General features: G+C 43.7%; 1 protein-coding gene across 2 annotated transcripts in view; it reads right to left on the bottom strand.

Moving 5' to 3' along the window:
- The window catches only part of SND1 (staphylococcal nuclease and tudor domain containing 1), a 440400-nt gene that overhangs the window by 96173 nt on the left and 321833 nt on the right, over positions 1 to 22394 (bottom strand). For both annotated transcript variants that reach the window (NM_014390.4, XM_017011987.3), the window contains exon 16: positions 5365 to 5474. In NM_014390.4, coding sequence (NP_055205.2) covers positions 5365 to 5474 — 110 coding nt within the window. The remainder of the gene's footprint in view (positions 1 to 5364; positions 5475 to 22394) is intronic.

Raw genomic sequence — 22394 nt, 5'->3', positions numbered from 1 at the left:
AAGGACCGAGGGCACAAGAAGGACAGAGATTGAGATAAACTTGAAACTGCTTAGAGCAGTTTATCTATTTCAGACACGATACAGCACACTTGGAGCTACGATGAAAGAAATGAAATCACTTTTTCTTGTATTCTAAGTTTTATTTCCCAGACATACACCCCTTCATAAATACACACCAATATTCATGGCTGAGGCCACATTCCCCTGAAACGTAAATACTTTTTTTTCCCCAATGGCAACAGTTGCTTATAATGTTTTTCTGTACCTTTTTTTTTTTTTTAAAGCAGGGAGTAAGGGAGAGAGAGGAAACCCAGGACTCTGCCCTGGCCACTGCAGCCTGCAGAATGAGCTCCCCGGGGGCATCCTCCCTTTTAATGCCAGCAGGGAGAAGGGAAATAGGTCAAGGCAGCAGCCTGAGTTTTCAGCTGGGGCTGTCCAGCATGAGGACATCATTTTTCAGGCAGCAGCAAAGAGCAATTCTAATGTGTCAGAAAGGACAAAGGGGTCATCGAAAAAGGCCTTAGAAATGATCACCAAACCCACATACATTGCCCCTGTCCTCAGAAACTGTACCTCCTACAGCCTGGAACTGTGAAGACAGTTAAACTATGACACTGATCTCTTTAAATAATACCTTATGGCCCTTTAAGACTTCGGGTTTCTCCAACACAGCAGTGAAAACACTGCTGTGCAGGCAGCAACTGGTCAGTGAGTATGTGCTGGCTAGCTGCCTTCTGGAAGAAAGTGAGAAGAGACATGAAATCACTGTTTTATTCAGAACAAGGGCCGCAAAAAGGAAAGGGTGGCTTGGGATTGCTAGATCAGTGTTTTAGACAGGAATGCCAAGGCAGAAAAGAATCACATATCCAGGACCACATAAAAACTGGAGTGTGAAAACCTAGGAGTTTACACTTTTAAGCCAGTTATTTACCCATTAGCTAATGCTATCTCTCACTACTTCTGGGGGATGCTAGTAATAGGCACAACTCCCCATCTGGGAAATCACACCAGATCTTCCTGTCCTTGACTGTGTGGCAGGGAACTGCCTTAAAGAGTCAGCTGTATGTGGGTCAGGGGTCACCAAGTACATGCTATCCAATGGGACATGGCACTCAGCTCATAGTCACAGCTACAGCCAACAGATACAATAATCTCATGCAGTCCAGCCTCAACGGCAGGGGACAGGAGAGCCAACTTAAATTTTCAGGGCTATTACAAGCCATTTAAACCCAATTCAGCATACCATATGCAGCAGTAGTCAGCAAACTTTTTGGTAAAGGAACAGATCGTAAATAGTTTAGGCTTTGCAAGCCATATAGCCTCTGTCGTAACTACACAACTCGGCTGTTATAGTATGAAAGCAGTTATAGACAATACATGAAAGAATTAGCATGGCCAGGCCAGGCGCGGTTGGCTCATGCCTGTAATCCCAGCACTTTGGGAGGCTGAGGTAGGCAGATCACAAGGTCAGGAGTTCGAGACCAGCCTGGCCAATATGGTGAAACCCCGTCTCTACTAAAAATACAAAAACAAAAAAAAAAATTAGCCGAGCATGGTGGTGCAGGCCTGTAATCCCAGCTACTTGGGAGGCTGAGGCAGGAGAATTGCTTGAACCCAGAAGGCAGAGGTTGCAGTGAGCTGAGATCGCGCCACTGCACTCCAGCCTGGGCGACAGAGCGAGACTCCGTTTCAAACAATCAAACAACAAGAAAAAACAGAGTTAGCATGGCTGTGTTTCAATGAAACTTTATTGTAAAAACTGGCAGTGGCACAGATTTGCCCACCTGTCCTAAATACCAGCGGAGTCAGGCTAGAAAGAAAGACTGAATTTACTGTTTTTTTTTTTTTTTTTTTTTTTTTTTTTTTTTTTTGAGTAAAAGTGATCGTCATTTGAGAGTTATTTGGCTGCTTTGGGCTTCAAGGCTGGAGAAGCAGGTAATGGCACAGTATCTCACTCACTGTTCTTCCTGCCCTGGGGTTGGCAGCACCACCAGAATGCCCAGACCACTGAGTTGGAATTGTCTTCCCAGATTTCCAACTCAGGTAAAAGAACAAAAGCCAACAGGAACCAATGGCTAAGGAGGAGCAACATGTAAAACAGTGGTGTAAAAGAAGAAATGCAACGTAAGAGGGCAGGAGAGAAGTCAAGATAATGGAGCCGAGTGGTGGCCAGAAATGTGAGTAGCTCTGTGCTGACTAGCGTCAGTGTAAAACAAATTTAAGGAAAGCAGCATTATGAGGTCTCAAGATAATGGGAGCCACCTGAAAACGGAGATAAAAGACTTGTCTAAAGCTTGAGGGCTCCACATGAAGATATGAGATGGAAAGACTATAATTCAGGCAGGAACTCCTGCACGGCCCACCAAAAGCCAGGACAATGCACTTACAAACATGGTGTCATTTTACCAGTGCCAGACACCCTGCATGCCAGCTTCCTGTTCTCTGCCTGGCAGAAGGCTGGCCTAGAGGCAGTCACCGTTACACAGCCCCTCTCCCCTCAGTATCTTCCTCAGGTTAGTTTATGGTTTCACATAGGGAAGTCCAACTTGATGACCAGGCCTCTGTCGGATCACACAGGGGCCCAGGAAGTACTCTGAAATCGTACAATCTGTGGGCTTCATCTTTCCTAGGATAATGCAGATTTATGGTAACCGAGGAAGGCATGCAGGGGATAGAGAAATTCTGGCCAAAGAAAAGACATGAAAAAAATTTAAAACTTTAAAGGGAAGGGATGGGGCAGGGCCAAGGACAATCACGTCTTCAAAATACCTGGTTATCTGAGCTAAAACTCATGATCAAGGGAACAGGTAAAAGGCACAAAAAACCAGTTCAACTGCGGCCATCCCAGCGGTGGCTCAGCTCCAGGAGAGTTCCTGCACTGTCGTGCACTGTGGGCAAGATAGAGGCTGCCTGGAAGGTAAGAGCTGCATGAGGTGGGAGGTCGTGGGCCCACATTCAGGCATCCATGCATTGCTCAGGACTTCTGCTGAGGGCGGGAAGGACCTCTGCATCCAGGAGTACCAATGTACTGGGACTTTCCTCTTCTGCTAGATCTTTGTGGGGTTGGGGGAGTAGGACAAAGAGAAGCATTCCCCAAGACAACTTATGAAATAAAAATGGAGGTACTACATAGGTAAAAGTAAATGAATAAGCCTGTAACAAAACACAAACCTCTCCATTCCTACACTGTTCAGAAAACAGTTTTCATATATAATATAAAGGAAATGTTCAGGACAGTAGGGTATTACTGGATCTTTTAGTCAGATTTTTGAATTATTCATAGTTTAGGACATACTCACATTTTCTCAGTGTAAAGAACTTTCAAAACAGCCAACCCAAGTAATCATATAAGTAGCTAAGAAAATGCAGAAAGGTTCTTATTGAGATCCTCAACCTAGGGATATGAAAGATGGGGCCACTATAATCAAGAAAGATCAACTCTGGGTTAGACTAAGAATCTGCAAACTCAATTACATACCAAGAGCACCAAAGAGTTTCCCCAAAGAAAACTGGGGAAAATTTTAATCTTTTTCAACAGTCAGGTATTAGCAAATATAAGACAAAGGTAAGGTCGCAATAACCATGGGAGAGTAAAAGAGTTTTGGGCCACTCACTCCTTTTAGTGATCAGTATTCTCTTTGATCCCCTTGTACTTTTGGATCTCATCAGTGGGCCAGAAACATGATCAGGAAGAAAGGTGGTTGGGAAAAAGACAGTTGAAAAAGAATGGGAAAGAAACTTTAGGAGATGTGAAACAGTAGGAAGACAATGATGGTGAGAAATTTGACTTAGACAGTAAATGATGAGAATGCCATCAACCGATGTCTTGGGCAATCTAATGAAGGGATTTCCTTCCTCCATCCAAAGCACAACAAACAAAAGTCTGTTGCTGCATCCTTCACAATGTCTTTAAGTTATGAATTTGAACAGACTCACCTGCTTTTACCAACATAGTTACTTTGCAGTTCATTATCCAAAATTAGAGGGAAATTCTACAATATCTGCCCCATCCACTTAATCCCTGGCCCACTTCAAAAACTGCAACAGGCACTTATAGACAACTGGAGTGTTTGGATTTTTGAAATACTTCTCTTGCACGGGGTTATTTTTAATTGATAAAAATTCAGGCAGCATTGTGTAACTACAAAACGGGAGAGGGGGAAGCACCTTCCATGTCAATATAAGGATTTTTACTTTGCATGCATCTTCACAAAAAATAAAATGGAGGGCAATGTGAATCTGATGATACAATTAAGCCCCCCAATCCCCCAATCATTGTACAGATAGCCAACAAAGCAGATGTGATACCCAGATTGTTGTAGCTGATGTTTGGGAAATGGAACTGAGAATTCAGGATTTGTTAGGCCACTCCACTTTCTTCTACAAAATAAGAAGGCAAGCAGTAAAGAATCAAAGAGGTGGCAACCAACACTTCTCTCAAGGCCAGGATAGTCCAACATAAGCATCTCGGAGTGGCGTGTTCTCTTGTTCTCTCACGCCTCATGTATTTCTTAGCAATTCAAATCAGCTTGAGAGGCTGAAGCTTACAAACAGGTATTTTTATCACTGAGCATCCTAAAGAAGTCCACGCATCTGCTCTCAAAGATCTACGAAGACTCATTAGAGAGACAGCCTCTAGGACCCTATAATCTTGTACCTCTGTGAGTATTATGAAAGCTGGAGGGACCCTATAGATGACTGTAAAAGAAATGGGGACAATGGCAGATTCAAAAATCCTAAGGCTGAGCCAAGCACACCTCCCTGCTGCTCCTTTCTTGTGCCCACCTAGCAGGACAAATGGCTGGCATACTCCTGGAAAGAAGATGGATCTGTTGATGAAGGCTTGAGCAAAATTAGCAGGTAGAAGGGCACCACAGCAGCTGAGATCCTAACTCCTGCATGCAAGAGCCAGCCCAACAGGCAGAAACAGAAATACAATTAAATTAAGTCAGAAAACCCGCTACAGAAAATACAATTACTCAAAGATACAAATAAATGTTCAAAGAAAATTGGCCCCTGACAGGGTTAGTCAAGCTTCTAAATCCAGCTGGAGACAGGCAACTCAGGCTAATACACCAAGGAGGAAGAATGCAAAGATGTAAGCTCTCTGCATCAGGAGTCTGGCTGGGCTGGCCTGGTGTCCACCACACATCCCAGGCCACCAGTGGAGGGGAGCAATTTGGGGGTGGCTGGCCAATGAAGCAGCGCTCAGGGAAATAAGATGTGGGCAGACACAAGAATGGATTATGGATGTGCAAGGCTGAGCAGTGGAAAAAACAACAGACTGATCTCTGACATGGCAGACCAAGGGAGCCTTATTTTGTCACCCCTCCTCACAGAAGAAGCAACAGGAAGATGTCCTACCTCTCGCTGCAGCACCAGTTCCTTGGTGAAAAGTGTAGCTTCCTCGCTGAAGGGCTCTCCTTCCTGCACCAAGCCTGGGAGGTTTCGGGCTCCTCTGGGGCATTCAATGCCTGTGTCAGGAGAAAAGTAGAATCTGTGATGAAAAGGTGCCCACTAGGCTTGCTGTCCAATAAGGACGGTCCCCTGACACCTCCAGTGAAGCAGGCGTTACATCTAACTTCCATCCATTCTATCTGAGACGAAGACAGAGGTAATGGGAGAAGTGGAGGAGGGGTTTAGTTCTCTCCAGGTGGAAAAAACCAACACTATCACAGCAGCACCAATGGATAGGAGCTCTCAGCCACAGCATCTGGGAATTATCAAGAGCACATGGCGAAAGGAGCCTTCCAAGTAAGATGAGCAGGAACTCCTCATCCTGCACTGCTCCAACTGACGGTCCCATAGTCTCGCAGCTTGAGCCATCTCTTACAGAAATGGCTCCCTCACCTACTGATATCCCAGCCATTCTGCCTCCTAAGTGCCATTCTCACTGACTCCTGGACATTTTCTCCTTGCTGTCTGACTTTTACACCAAATTCAAAAGTGTTAATTCAGTGTCACTTTTCTCTTCAAATAAGCCTCCCCTCTCAACTCTGGGTGTATTCTGGACAATAGTATCATCGGCTTTTCATTCAGAATGAGAGACAGAAAAAAAAGCAAAACACCTCAGAATACTGATGAAATATTAGGTGCCTGGAGCCAAAGAAACCCAGTTTCACATCCCAGCTCTATCACTTATTAGCTGTGTGACCTTAGCCAAATTACTCAGAAAGTCTCAGTTTTCCTACTTATAAAACAGATATTATAATATATCCGCTTCTTAAGGTTGCTGTGTGAACTAGGAGAGATTATTTAGAACGATGCCTGCCACATGGAGACGTTTACTATATCCTATTATTAATATTATCTGTATCATCATTATCACTCTTAGCAATTCCCATGCTCAAAACCTCAAAATCCTCTTTGACCCCCACAACCAACCTGTCCCTGAAGACAGAATCCTATCCTTCATACTCTTTTTTTGTATCCAACCACAGGATTCTGTACAAAGTGCTCACTAACCAAGTGAGACTGCCTTTTCTTTCTTTGAGTCAACCCGTTAGTTTTGCAAGTATATTTACCACTAACAGTGGTCATCTGTGACAGACCATGAAATATGCTACATTTTGATATCTGAGACTTACAAATATTTCAAAAAAATTCACACTGTAGCTATAATTATGACGCTATATAATTACAGACATAATTCCACAAAAAGTGGAACTGGGCTAGAGACATAGGAAACGAAAATGATGAAGATCTGGGGGAGGATGCATGGAGTATGTGTGTCTCTGAATCACTGGTGGTCTCTCCTGCTGCAGTAAGGCAGAACTAAGAGGTGCTACCTTTTATTTACGAACAGCCTCAAGGGAACGTACAAGAGATCTGGCATAGGAGCAGCAGAAGCAGGGTGTCTCGGTGATGGCAAACACCTGCTTGGTGGAGACAAGGTCCCACTGTTGCTAGGATAGAAGGTACATCTCTGTGTATGAATAAAGCTAGGTGCTGCTCATGTTTCTGGCCAGGGCATTGATTCAAGGTGACAAAGCTCAGAAAAAAGGGAATAGGCTATATATTGGGCTTTCAGAAGATAAAGAACGGAGCTTTCTCTCTGAGCCCCAAGGCCTTACAAATGGAATACACCACATCAAATAAAATGCTAGGCCAGGAGAAAGACTGCCACAGGACAGCAGCTTGAGGTGACAGCAAGGACCATTCTGCCACCCTTGAAAAGATGGGACAGATGAAGGCCCCACCCAAGTGTCACATGGCAAAGAAGATCACCAGGGCTGCCTCATTCCTGGCACTTCAGTGCCGGCCTGCAAGGGAGGGGTGGAACGTATTTTTGTAAAAGACAGCAATAAACTCATGAGCCAAGGAGCCTGAGATTAACCCTACAGGGAGAGATGAGGCTAGAGAAAAATGGAATGAAAGATGGCCCATGTTTTTTACATCAATAGCCAAAAACACTTTTCTTTTTATATCTGCAAACTAAGCAAGAACAAAATCATCAGAGAGAAAAATAAACAATTCCATTGAACAATCTTGCCACATAACCACAGAAAAAGCATTGTTGCAGAAACAGGCATAATGCTAAAACAAGTGTTCAGTTTGTTTCTGACTCTTAGCAGCCATTTGGGCAGGACAGGACTGGGGTGCTGTTGGGTGGGGCTGCTATGAACTGGGGACTAGAACTGGGATGTAGCTAGGGTACTGCACTGGGCAGCAGGAACTAAGGGGTTGAATTTTCACTATGAGGGCATAAAAGATTTCCGAGCTTCACTTACTGAGTACCACTCTACTCCTTTGTCACTCTCTTGGTATTCTGAAATCTCACCAGGTTGGTGAAGCTTCAGAGATTGCAGTTGCTCCCCTGAATCCTGGAGACCACCAAGTGATTAAATTGAGAAAACATGATGGCTCAGTGGGCCAGGGTGTTAAACAAATCAAGCAGAAATATATTCAAAACATTTTTCATGAGATAGTCCTCTGGGCCTGTGAAAACCAAATCCCAGTCACTCCATGTAGACACAAAGGCAAAGAAGGGCCTTTGTTACGTTGCTAGTCCACTTCCCAGCAGTTAAGCCCTAGCACGACAAGAGTAGGAAGCCGAAGTAGGGTGCTTCTGTGCCCTTTTTCAAGTGGAAATAAGTAAACATCCATTCACATCCATTCCCATCAGGCAGAGGCAGAATCTATTCCCAGACTAAGGTACAAAGTCAGGGCCAGGAGAGCAGGACAGGCTTTATGATATCTGAATGTCTGAGTATTAGAAATTTGCCGAGCCGAGCTACATCTACAGATAGAAGATACTGTAGATGGGCGTTTTTCAAACTTTTTATTCTTACTGTGACCAACATACACACTTACATATGGGTACAAACACCTGTAGACAACCAATGGAAGTAAGAAGCCTTCAATAGATTCCAGAGTCTCAAAACAGTCACATCAGGCAGATTCTGCCAGTGCAATTATTTAGGCAGGAAGACCATTTCCTGAGGTTTCCTTCTCTGCCATCTTGATATTACCTTTTGCAGAGCAGTATTTATGTATTCATTTATTTATTTGGGGGGTTATTTTTATTGGAGGCCAGCTTAGCAATTATTACGTTTCCACAAAACAATGGTTAATCTTGACTATATATGTTAGTTATATATGTCAGTATATGTTATACTGACAGTCTCTCTTCTGTTCACCATTTCATTAAGGAAAAAAACAAAACGGCTATGACACTGAATTGATTTAAAACCTCTAGTGGGACAAATACCCAGTTTGAAAAACACTGGTATTGACTGAGGTGTAAAGACAGAAGGATGGAAGGACGGGGCAGGTCCTGATGGCTTTCTTGCAGAGTTAAAAAAGTGCTCCAACTGAGGGTTTATCCAGTTTCTAGACTTGCTTTTGTGTACTAAGGGACCAAGGAACAGAGCAAAAAATATGCTGTCCACTGGTAGAGAGGAGACCACACAAATGGTAACATTCTGAGCCAAAAAGTCAGTTGTCGTTGCTGCTGAAAGCCAGATGAAGCCACATGCTGGCAGCGAGCAGAGTTATTATGCTGTGCCCTCCTCTCCCAAGAGCTCAGGGAGCAAGTCAACCTAATCCATGCTGCACCTTTCCTCAAGCAATGCCTGCACTGCTGGGCTGGTGATGCAATAAAATGGACGTTAAAAATAAAAGTTAAAGAAAACAGATGAAGGGAAAGAAAGTTGGGTTCTAAGAAAGCAAACCCAAGGCTGCTGATGCTCAGCTGGGCAGGCTGACAGGCAGCAATGGAGCGCTCCCAAGCCACACAGGGCCTCAGACTGTAAATATGAAGTGAGATATCACTGGAGCTGCAGAAGTTCTCCCCAGCCAGTTGAGAAAGTGCCTGGCTGGATCCTGCATGTTACCACCAATAGCTGTCTTTTCTGATAACATACCAGTGCAGTGCTGCCTGCTGATAAAGATATATTAACTCAGCTGTGCCTCAAATGCCACAGGTGCAAGAGAAGTGCCAAGCTTACCTCTGACACAAGCCTTTAAGAAACAAACTATTTTGTTTTAATAAACACAAAAGAAGACAAAACACTACACTTAAAAAAAAATCCCAAAAATTCCTGAGCATTTTCCTTCTCTATCATGGGGTGTGCCAGAACAAAGACAGATCCCCCATGGGGGGACTCAGCTGACTTCCACAAGGGCAGGCACAGGAGAGGCAGGTAAGACAAATGCCTGCCCCACCTCCTGCTCCATGTGGCTGCTGCTCCTGACCTCTTTCAAACTCTACAGGTCCATCTGCCTATAAGCAAAAACTCATTATTTTTCATACCTTTTCTAGACTTTCTGGGATATGAATGGTTGGCCATGGCTATTTGAAACAAAACAAAACAAAACAAAACAAAAGGAAATAAAATCAAGTAAAAAGAGGTTTCTGCCTGACTCTGTATAGTTTAGGAAGAGAAAATTCATTGCTAGCCATCAGCACATCATGATTCTGGGTTCTGCTCTGCCACTGATAGAATATTAAACTTATCCAGGCCTCATCTGTCTATAAAATGAAGGATATGCAAGGCCTTCTCTGGACACAAAATCTTACCATTTTGGTTATACCCTTTTGAGATTCCTCACCCAAGCCTTGACTCATGGAGTATAAATATCCAACAAAATGCTGGGCTATGGAGCAATCATTCTATTAAAAAAATTATACATTTAGAGACATTGACTAACTAGGTCAATTAACACAAATACTCTGGTCAGTCAGCTTTGGAACAAGAAGTACACATTCTTGTTAATGACAAGACAATGGGCTCTGTAAGAGATTCTATTGATGGCTATGTGAAACTTATGTATCGCTCTGAGTATTTTACACTCTTTTTCGAGTTTTATGATAACTAAGTCTCAGGACTCAGAATGTGTTCACTTTTTCCTTTATTGGGCAGTGGGAGCTAAGGGAAGTGTGACAAATTGGCCTTAGCTGGAAGTATGTGACAGCTTCCCAGTGGCACTTATTCCACCACTAAGAGACCAGGCATTAGCTGAAGGAGACAAAACTCAAGTGGAAACAAAAAACAGTTTGAAGGATTAGTCAACGGTGTCTACTGCATGCCCGCTGTGTTCTCACTACTGCATCAGACATCACAGTGGCACAGGAGGCATGCAGAACCTGCCTTCTGTCCACGGGGTACACTGAAAAATCCACCAGCTCATCTAGCAGACCTCTACTCTCCATTGAACTAATGCTTGTCAATGTCTACTCTGGGCCAGGAAGATGAGGATTGTTGTGGAAGATGAGGATTCAATGATGAAAACACTTTGTGCTCATGAAGTTAGTTACCAGCTAGGAAAGATTATTTTACTCTACTATTGTAAAAGGTATGTTATTGGTGACTGGATTTGCCATTTGGCCTATATGTTGCATAATGTTAAGAAATAGTACATGGCCGGGCACAGTGGCTGAAGCCTGTAATCCCAGCACTCTGGGAGGCCAAGGCAGGCGGATCACTTGAGGTCAGGAGTTTGAGACCAGCCTGGCCAAGATGGTGAAACCCCGCCTCTACTAAAAATACAAAAATTGGCAGGGTGTGGTGGTGTGCGCCTGTAGGGCCAGCTACTCAGGAGGCTGAGGCAGGAGAACCACTTGAATTCCAGAAGTGGAGGTTGCAGTGAGCTGAGATTGTACCACTGCACTCTAGCCCGGGCTAGAAGTGCATGTATGGCTAGGAAGCTATTGGCAGAATGTAGTGGACAACTCAATCACGGGGCTTAACAGGACACATCCCTCACTAAGGAGACAGCCTCGGGCAGCTATGCTTTTTAGCACATGACCTCTGTTCTCTCCGCACACCACAAGCTGGGAATGGGAAGTCAGTGCAGAAGGTGGGGAATGGCAGAGAGGGAGGGAGTGGTGCTGTAGCAGCTTCAAGGGTAGCAAATGTGCAGTCAGGCCAGCAATAGGAAAAACAGCTCTATTCAAATAGAAATGGCAGATGCCAGGTGAACCAATAAGAGTCTCCTTCTGGAATTTGAACTGAGCAGTGTTTAAAACACAATCCCCGCAGGAGCCAGAGGAAGGAGGCAATAAGCAGAGGGGACGAACTGACATTAACACTGGAGATCTACAGTGAGGTCCCTGGAGCAGTCTCAGACTCAGAATCACCTCAGGTTCCAGGATCTGTGACACCTGACCCTACCTAGGCTCCTATTAGATTTTCATGGATATTCCTCTGCTCTCTCCCCTCACTGACACTGTAAGCCAATCTGTGAGGATCTGGTACTTTCAACCAAACTAAAACTAAAACTATAACAAAAACAGTGCATCTTAGGGCAGGCACTGTGTCATATTCAGATTTTAATCTTTCCAGCACTTAACATACTATGTAGCACACAGTGGCATTGGAGACGCTCAATAAATGTTGAATGAATATTAGTGAAAAATAGTTCTGAAAAACGTAAACACACAGAGAAAGAGATGGTTGATGAACTGTCAGGGCGCAGAGCTGAGATGAGGTTTAGTCTGACACACCTGGAGAACAGAGGTGTTTTATGCAAATACCAGGAAAGGGGCCAACAGAATCCATAACTACATACATCCCACTTTCCCATGGTTATATAACACTTCAAGGATTAAACAAAGTATAGCATAGCTACACCCTTTTACCCCACTGGTCTTTAAATTGGCACATTTAGAGAACGTGGTTTAACTACAGAGTTGAAGTGGTCAACACTGACCAGCTATGTCAGAGAGACCTGAGGCTGGAGCATAGCAGAAATGTTTAGCTTCTGACATGCCAAAGGAGGAAAACAATTCTCACTCATGACCTATGTTCAATTCTAGGAAAGTTATGTGGCCACATGGAAATGCAGAAAACTGGAGCACACTTAAAGAGAGCAGGGGAAAATGACTCAGGGGCGTGGAGACCTGCCTTTAAAGGGAAGATAAAAGGTGCTAAATTTGTACAGCTCAGCTAAGCGGTGACTAAGAGGGTGACAGGATAACAATCTGCAAATATTTGAAAGGTGTAAACACAAGAAAGGAGGGAGAATGCCTAGCCTGAAAACAGGGGGTGTAATTATTAGGGGAAATAAAATCTGGACGCCATATCGGAAAAACTTAGTGTGGGGATGACTACTGGGATATAAATAAGTTTCCCAATGGAAGGGAAAATGTTATTCAGTCTTAAAGCTGAAAGATGGTCACTAAGTCCACTCCTCTGCTTACAGTGAGGAGCCCAGGCCAGTGAATTGTGATTTCATTTTATATATTTAGGCAAATTAATAATATTCAATATTATTGAATATTGAATATTCAATACCTCTGCTTTAAATAATGCTCCCTGAAATTTCAACACAATTTTTGTTGATCAAACGATGGGGGAGACAAAATGGCAGTTTTGATGGAACTTTCACAACAAAACAGGGTTTATCTCCCTAGCCACATACCTAGCTAGCAGATAAAGGGGTGCTCAGTGCAGATGTAGGGGGTGGACAGTGGGGAGAGGAACAGGAGGCAAGAGTATCTCATCTAGTTTTCATCTTCCTTTCTAGTCTTTAAGACCCCAGGCAGGAATGCTGTAAAAGTTTTCCAGATAGGAAACTATGGACACCTCTCCTTTCTATAGACTGCACTTGGTCCCCTGGAGTCATTGTCAAGGACAAGACACAGAACACCAAAACAAGCTTCCTGTCCCACTGACTGCACTCCCATACCTCTGCCTGAGTACCTGCTGCTGCAGCTACTCGATTTATAATCCACAGGCTCCCAGCAGTTTTTTACCCCTAGACTCAATTAGTTCCATTTCTATACTTTCCCATACCACCCTTCTTCCCACCAAAAAACAAAACAAAATTGTAAAAAGCCCCACTACACATAGACTGTAAGATACTTAAACTCCGTATAAAGGCTGAGAAAAGCAACACTTTTAAGTTTGTCCAGGCCGATTTCAAAAATTCTTCAGCGCCAACAATATATAGACAGGTATTCCCTCCTTAAGTATCAAGAACAAAATCAAGAACTTTTAACCATCAACATGAAAGGTAGAGTCAGACAGACCATCTGCCTAATTTTAAGGAATGTAGTTATCACTTAAATAACATACAAAGCCAAATCAGTTCATGCCATTGCTTCTCAGACCTGTAATAGCTCATACACCAAAAACTTGTACTTCTTGCTCATAAGCTTTAAAGTAGAAAGAATTTGGATGGCTCAGGTTGCAAACGATGTCAATGAATCAGTTCACTATTGAAAACTGCACACCATCTCACTTAGGGCGTATATTTCCACATTCCTAAAATGGCCCAAAGAAAAAGGGAAATGGCAGACCAGTTGGTTCCCAAGAGTTCGTTCTTCATGATATGAGGCTACAGTTTGTACTAAAAGGTTTAGAAGTAAAACAAAGATTTTGCATTCTCTCAAATTCTTTATTCTCTCCCTTGTTCTCTAAACTCCTACTTTGTTACCTCAGGGGAGGTAGGATCTTGTGGACCAATTTTGGAACATGTCACTGCTAAAGCTCTTTCAATGATCAGAATAAAGGGATAAAAGAAGAATGAAGGGATCCTAATTAAAGGGATCAAATACCTAATTGTAGTCAGGGGAGTCAGAACTGGGCAGAAGCTGAGACTGAAGCTGTTTTTAGTCACAGCTCCAATTTTTTAGGATAGACTTTTATTAGGTTGTTCGGATTTTGTAATGTTTGATGCATTTGTTGAAAGACCAGGCACTGAAGTTAATTTGGAATTGGAACAAGAAAACCAAGTCTTCACAATGCAATGGAAACTGCAGCTCTCTTTGAAGAAAGGAAGGGGAAGAGAAGAGAAGCATCTACAGACAGGAAGTGCGGTGCTTGGCTGTTAAACATGCCTTAAGTTTCTGATACAAGTCATAATAGTTGTTCGCCTGTTAATGGTAGATCCCTCTTCTACAGTCATTTGAGGTAAGGGATATGCCACTTCTCTCTACATCCCCGGTATCTGGCAAACAGAAGATGCTCAATAATTCAGTTTGCTACATGAATGCCAGAGAGGAGAAAATCTAGCAATAACAGATACACCAAACCTGTTACAACAACCTGCTTTTCCAAGAGTTCTGGATGCATATGAGTTAACCTGTGGAGTATTGATGAGGAATTCTAGTACTACTTATTCTCAGGACTTAAAGGTGAGTGTGTGGTTAAATGCTCAATCATTGACCACAGCCAGTGGAAGAGGCAAGGAAGGGATGACTTAGAGGCCTTATACTGAATATCTTGCTCTCAGTCTAGCCAGGCAATGTACAAAACCAGCTTCACTGAATTTGATTTATTGTTAGCTTTAGACACCACACAATCTCTCCCAAATGGGAAAAAAGCATTTTTAGATGGAGCTGGTACAGAAGATAACAATCAGGCCAGCATGGGAATAACCTTTTATAATTCTCCCCATTGCAAAGCAAGATCTGAAAACAATGATTTTTAAGGGGAGAAAAAAAAAACCCTCTCACTGATTAACGAGGCCTTTCCCTTTCTGTGGCATCCCAAGAGCAGGCTGTAACCCACCTCACCAGGCTGTCTCTGGAGGTGTGTTTGGGAAGGGGACTGGAGATCGCAGGCTGTCCGCTTCCCAATGCCCATGTTCATTTTTGGGGATTGCTATAAGCAGCAGCTGCAATAATGTCACCATCAGCTACTAGCAGAAAGAACAACTGGGCATGGGAGAGACCTGTGCCTTTCAAAAATTTTTTTTTTTTCCTGGGTTTCTCTTTATTATCCATACCAAAACAACAACCTCATACCTTCATTAACAAATTCACAGAAAACAAAGTATCTGAGGTCAAAAGCTAGAGCTGCAGTGTTCTGAATGACAAGAAAGCTCCTACATGGCTCAAGCTTTTATGTAACACAGTGGCACTGTGCAGACAGCATCTAACAGGCACAAATGCTACGTCTGAGCAAGGAGGAGGAGTTGGTTTCTATGAGAACCTCAACTTTTATTTCTTCTGACTTATTTTAAAGCAATAGGACTTTATCTTTAAATCAAATAAAACATATTTTCCTCCCTTTTGATTTTTGGCACCAAAGGTTCCTATTCTTGGTCTTTTTTATTCCATGTTAATTGATAAAGAGAAAAATTTGAATCTACTGTCCAGGTTGCTAGAGATTTGCTACAAGGTGAAGAGAAAGCCACAGGAAATACCCCTATGGATCTTGCAAGTCTCCACTTCCATGAGGTATTCTGGCACACACCTGGCAGCCAAATGTAAAAGCTACTTACTTGCATAAATTTAGAGTGACTTTTTCTAGACCAAGCTGTTTTATTTGAACAAAATGGTTCTGAGATGTGTGGAGTGTACTTCTAAACTATTGCCTTTTTTGAGCTTTCACTCAAATAAAATTGCTCTGAGCTCCTCCTCCTGAGGCAAGTGAATTCCAAATGTCTAGAGATTAGTATACTTAGCCTACAGTAGGATGAGGAGGAAAAACCAGCTAGTGTCAGGAATATTAAGACTTAAGAACCAAAGAGCATGAATAAAAAAAACCTCTGGGCTGAGAAACTCTTAGCAAGAGTCCTTCACCTCACTAACTTTACTTTAAAGAAAAAGAGGCCGGGCGCGGTGGCTCACGCCTGTAATCCCAGCACTTTGGGAGGCCGAGGCGGGCGGATCACGAGGTCAGGAGATCGAGACCATCCCGGCTAAAACGGTGAAACCCCGTCTCTACTAAAAATACAAAAAAAAAAAAAATTAGCCGGGCGTAGTGGCGGGCGCCTGTAGTCCCAGCTACTTGGGAGGCTGAGGCAGGAGAATGGCGTGAACCCGGGAGGCGGAGCATGCAGTGAGCCGAGATTGCGCCACTGCACTCCAGCCTGGGCGACAGAGCGAGACTCCGTCTCAAAAAAAAAAAAAAAAAAAAAGAAAAAGAATAAAATAAAATAAAATAAAGCAAGCAAAAAGGGAAAGGAATTGTGAAAAGTCAAGGTTCTCCAAGAGCACAGGCCAAGCTACATATATCCTATCCTGAGTAGCTTGAATCCTGGGCCAGCTGTGGGTCAAGAATGGCATTTGCCTTATTCATCTATTTATTTTTTAGTTACCATACTCTAAAGCAGGGAACAACAGACAACTTCCTGAAGACTAAGTCTGCCCACTGATTTTACAGAGCTCATGAGCTAAGAATGATTTTTACATTTTTGAATGGTTAAGACAAAAATCAGAAGAAGAATATTTGTGACATGTTATAGGATATAATAAATTCCTCTTCAAAGGTTTTAGCCTGTAAATTGTTAAGTACAATGAGTTCTGAGGTCCTTTCCAAAGAACCAATATATCAGTATGTTCAGCTCCCCTGTTCTTTGTTCTTCATTTTAAAGTTTAACTTCCTCGTTCTTTATGTCTCCTTGCCCCTAGTTTCAGTAAACAACCCCCTCCTAGCCTCTATCACCTGCTCTGATCTTAGTCATCCTTGGTCACCTGCTCTGTTCTTATTCATCCAGAGTCACCTGTTCTGTAACTGCCCTTCCTGCCAAACTACTCACCCTGCCACTCCAGCTCGTACCCCTGCTCTCTTTAAAAGAGCCAATCAGAATTAGCTTAGAGTGTGTGGTCCAACCCTAGCCGATAGGGAAACGACACAGCAATAGGGGCTACCTGCCCCTTCCCCTCCCTCGTTCAAGTGTGCTCTCGCCATTGCTCCATCCGTGAGTCGCACCCTTCTACAGAAGTAAAATTGCCTTGCTGAGAAAATTTATGTTCGAGTGCTGTTTCTTTTGCCACACTGAAAATTTATTTCCAACAATGTGAAGACTATGAAATTCAAATTTCAGTGTCAATAAATGAAGTCTTATTAGAACATGGCCACATGTATTTGCTGTCTATGACTGCTTTCATAGTACAGGGCTAGAGTTGTACCATGAATATTTGTAACAAAGATCATAAGGCCCACAAAGACTAAGATATTTACTATTTGCCCCTTTCTAGAAAAAGCTCGCCAACACGCTCTGAAGCATGTTGCATGGTGGTTTAAAAAAAAATACAGGCGGCCAGGTGTGGTGGCTCACGTCTGTAATCCCAGCACTTTGGGAGGCTGAGGTGGGTGGATCACCTGAGGTCAGGAGTTCAAGACCAGCCTGGCCAACATGGTGAAACCCCACCTCTACTAAAAATACAAAAATTGGCCAGGCGTGGTGGTGTGCGCCTGTAATCCCAGCTACTCGGCAGGCTGACGCAGGAGAATCGCTTGAACCTGATAGTACAGGGTAACTAAACCTGATGTTTAGTTATCAGTACAGGTGACAGCATAAAATGTTAAATTATAATAAATAAAAATAATATTTAAAAAACCTTATGGTCATGTGACCTAGAAGGTAAAAGGAATGAAAACATGGCTTAGGGGAAATGGCCAGAGGCAGCTGACATTAACCACAGGTATGTGCCCTTAACCTTTCTCTCCTGAGCCCTGTTCTATGAATGTCCACTTTCCTGTACGTCTGATCATTCTATTTTATTCCCACTGTCCTCCCACAGATGCATATTTCCCCATTCAAAGCATACTTTCCATAAGCTCAAACCTTGAAAATGCCAGAGTTGCCACTCTGTTCTTCATTATAACTGCTTCTCTCCACTTCCTGACCAATCTGCTCACCATTACATTTCTTGTGAAGAAGTCCTTTGCTCCTAAGATGTTGTCCTTAGACTTTATCTTTCAACTAAATGATAGTTAGAAGTCCTACTAGATTGTTCTATGGTATTTACCACTGAGCGCCAACCCCTTAGTGAGATCCTTTCTTCCTTGATGCTTCTGTCTTCTAGGTGTCCTATCTCTCTGGCTGCTTGTTTTGTTTCTTACTGTTGCCCTCAGTCATGCACTGGGCCCTTTTTTTCTCTCTGCACTATCCTTTGGCAGGTCTATCCATTCTCACCTTCTCCATTCACTGTGATCATGCAGAACTCAGACATGTAATCCTGGCTCTATACCCAATTGCCAAACATCTAACAACTGCCCACGTCTCCCCTTGGATGTCCTGCCAAGACCTCAAACTCAACATGTCTTAAAACCAAACTCATCTTCTTCCTCCTAAACCTCTGCCACCTACCTCCTCCTCTTCCAGAGTTCCCCATTCTGGCTCCAGCATGACCATCCTCTTGGGCTGAAAACCTCTCTTATCTTCTTCCCTACTCTATCCACATAACCCAGTGATTGCTACATCCTCTTGATTCCATTATTTTCCCTTCTATAGTTATTCCTCTGAATCTTCAGCATACCTCTGTTTGTCAGGCTCTTGTCACTTGTGGCCAAGAATCTTCTGATCGATCTACCTGTGCCTGCCCTCGATTTTTCCCTATACTTATTCTTTATACACACTACCAGCTTAATCTACTATTCTTTATACTTTATACCATACTATTCTTTATACCATACTATTCTTTATACACACTACCAGCTTAATCTACTACCAGATTAATCAGCTACCAGATTAATCTTCCTAAAACACAATGTTCTGCTTCTTATTTTCTTTTTTTTTTATTTGCTTCCAAACAAAATCAGAACTCCACAATCTGACATCCTAGGCCTTCTAAGATCTGGTCCAATTCCTTCGGACCATATAAAACATGCATTACCCATTTGACACCTTTTCAAATATTTGAAGAGACTTGCAACATCTATTTCTTCTCATTCTCAAGTCTTATTTTCTCTGGGTTGAACATTTCTAAGGTCCTCATGAGACGTGAATTTTGATTTCTTACCATTCTACTCTTTTTCTTTCTTCTTTAAACCTACATAAGATGAAGTGAATCTTCAAACTGAAAATATCTTTCTAGTTGATTTAATTAAAAACGTCCAATGGGGGTGGTGGAGTGTGCAACAGGGAGCATCCCTTTTTCTGCACTGTTGAGAGCCGACTCCGGAAGCGTTCGCAGTGAAATGTGCTGCTTTGTTGGATAAACGGGGGAGGGGTGTGGAGAGACTGCATATCAGTCTTCTCTCTGTGTGGCCAGGCAGAGTTGGACTTTTCCTCCAGGAAGCATGCTGCAGCAAGAGACAGCTCCATTAGTGCGGGCGGAATCCCCAGACTGAAGGAAATGGGAAGCCCTCAAGACACCATGTAGGGGAGGTGGAGCCTGTCCCAGCAAAGGTTTCCTGCCTCCACGGCCTCCATTCCAGCTTTCATTCTCTGTCTCTCAGCAGCAGCCCCAGGCACTGTGGAGACCCTGGTGGTGTTGTGACAAGCAGTCTATTCATTTCCTTCTCTCATTCACTGGGCTTTAAGGGATAAAAAGGAACAGCAAATCCAAACCACTGCCCAGAATTCACTTTGCAGAATTCAGGGAAAGATTGTTCTACTGAAGTGATGATTTTCCCTGGTTGGGAGACCTGAGGGAAAGAAAAGGACTTCTGCATCCTTTACTTTCCACTGATGCAACATTGCAGACATGAGTATTTCAGTCACCACTGTGGCCAGTGGACAGGGAAGGCACAGCAGTGCACTCAACGGAAGCTTTTTAGCCCCTGTCACAGTGTGGCAACAGTGCACCAAAGCACCAGGATTTCAACTGTCATGCTGGACACAAAGCTTCAGTTGAAAAGAAGGAGGGCAGTGAGGGAGAAAATCAGGTACCCAACAGACCCGCATCTGGTCTTTATTTTTGCAGCCATGCAGGAGGTATTAACTTGTGCCATCAGGCTGTGCCTGTCTTCCAGGGAGAGGAAAGCTGCTCCAGTGTGCTCCGCACAAAAGAAGGACAGCACCAGGATGGGAAGCTTGCCAGAAATCAGGATTTCTAATAAGGGTGGGGCAGGGGAGGGAGTGGCGAGGACTGATTACGGAGAGGAGGAGTAAACTTCCTGAACACAGCTCTCCACAAAGCACATTCCCCGACCAGGGTTCCTGGTGCCTGTGACAGCCAAGGGGTGTGTGTGAGCTTGTGCACTTGTCTGTGCTCACTCACCCAAGGAAATAGGGTGGGGAATAAGAGAGGAAAGGAGAACAGGGTGGAGGAGGGGCTAAGGAAACCACAGTGGCCATCTCTGAGGGCTGAACTCTCATGTATAAGCCCATGGTGGGACATAGCAACTGTCACAATGACCCAAATCAGAAACTGGTATTTGGGAAGAACGTAGGAAGAATGCTGAATGGAGCCGGACCTGCCTACTAACAGCCATGAGCACCTCTGTGGGGGTGTCAGAGTGGAGTGGAGCAGAGAGAAGAACGGGGTAGCGTGCTCGGCGCTACAGCGCACAGAAGAAAGTCTCATGCCAGGGCAAAAGAGAGGAGCCACCCCTTCTGTAGTGATCTGCCAGCCTCACACCCTTCACATGTCTTCCAAAGCCCCAGGCTGGCTGCCTGCTCTGCTCCCTTTGTCCATCCTGCCGACTTTGGTAGATGCTGGCTTGTTTGTGCCTTTTCACTCACTTTGGTTCCTTGTTCCCTCTCCACCATATCTTAATCCTGCTCTCTGTCAGGCCATTCTTGTGTAGTATCACAAGCAGAAAGAAACTTAGCTGAAGCCTTTTACTCTGATTGCTGGCTGCTCTGGGGTGCAAGCAGAGGGGAGTCAATCTCTCTTACACACACACACACACACACACACACACACACACGAGGGGAGTCAATCTCTCTTACACACACACACACACACACGAGGGGAGTCAATCTCTCACATACACACGCGCGTGCGCACATGCGCGCGCGCCCACACATACAAACACAAGTAATGCTTCTCCTGAGTGTCTCCCTACTACACTCAACTCAATACTGGGGTGTAAACAAGTGGCCTGCTCAAAAACACCTAAATTAATGGAAAAACGATGCGCTGCACGTCCTTGTAGGGAAATTTGGGGAGTCTGAAAAGCTGTATGGTTTGTGTGTGCCTCTTTTGTGTAACAATGTATTTTGGTTTTCATAGTTTTTATCATTAAAGAAATTGTATGTCCTCTAAAAATATAAAACAAAACAAACAAAATCAAGTGGCCAGTCACAAATAGGGCTTTTTCTCTTTGGGTAACTCCCTCTGCAATTCACAAAGTGCCTGGACACTCTCTGGCCCAAATGGATCCCCCCAGGTCTGAAGGCAATTAGATCTCCTGACACAAGATGCTCTTCAGCAATACAACTCAAGACCCAGGGGACAAAGGAAGATGGCCTTTTCTTTCTCAGTCAACCATCCTAGGGAGACACCAGCTCCTGAATGGCAAAGAGGACAGCTGTCAGCAAAAGGGCGGGGGAGCGGTGAGGCAAATTTCACAGCCTAACAGCCAAGAGAAAAACAAAAACAAGAGAAGTGTTTCATATGGAGGCTGTCTCCCCTAATGTCACTAAACTGGAAAATCCTATATTCTTGAATTCACCCACCCTTAGCAGACAGCTGTTCATGCCTGAGTCAGGAGGAAAGGTGAATGCTTTGGAAGGGGAATTCTCCTAGACAGCCTGGAATCTGAAGAAGCTCAATCACCTAAATAATGTCAGTATTTTGGACCGGCATAAAAAGTGGGCTCATTTCTGTATCTCCTTGGAAACCAAATGGCTCCCGAGGTAGTGAATGAGAGAGGGCAATGAAATCGCTGCTCCAAAGGGAGCCCAGGCCAACCCCCCAGCAAGCAACTCTGTCTTCTATTTGGTATTTCCAGGGCAGACAAGATCAAAGAAGGAGCATGAACGAATCTTCAAGTACCAAGTTTGATCCAAACCACTCCAAATTCACCTTGCGTGGATGGAGATAACGGGCATTTATAATCTGATGGGACCCTAACATTCTTACTTCTCTTCACCAATATTCTAGCTGAGATGCTGTATCGTATTAAATCTTTGTGGATGAGTGATGTGGTTTAAAATACTGCAGGCTTTGGCTGCCATTCCCTTCCCTGGGGTCTCAAAATAACTCCACACAAATCATTTTTGCTAAACACTCACTCAGGCAGCTCTTCCCTGCCAGAACACACACATCTTATGTAAGTGAAGAAGCCACCTAGCTTGCTGGAAGACAGTAGCACTCCCAGAGA

The sequence above is a fragment of the Homo sapiens genome, chromosome 7 (assembly GCF_000001405.40).
Source record: "Homo sapiens chromosome 7, GRCh38.p14 Primary Assembly".
NCBI lineage: Eukaryota > Metazoa > Chordata > Mammalia > Primates > Hominidae > Homo > Homo sapiens.
The sequence above is the reverse complement of the archived record's forward strand: the minus strand, read 5'-3'. Positions and strand labels throughout refer to the sequence as shown.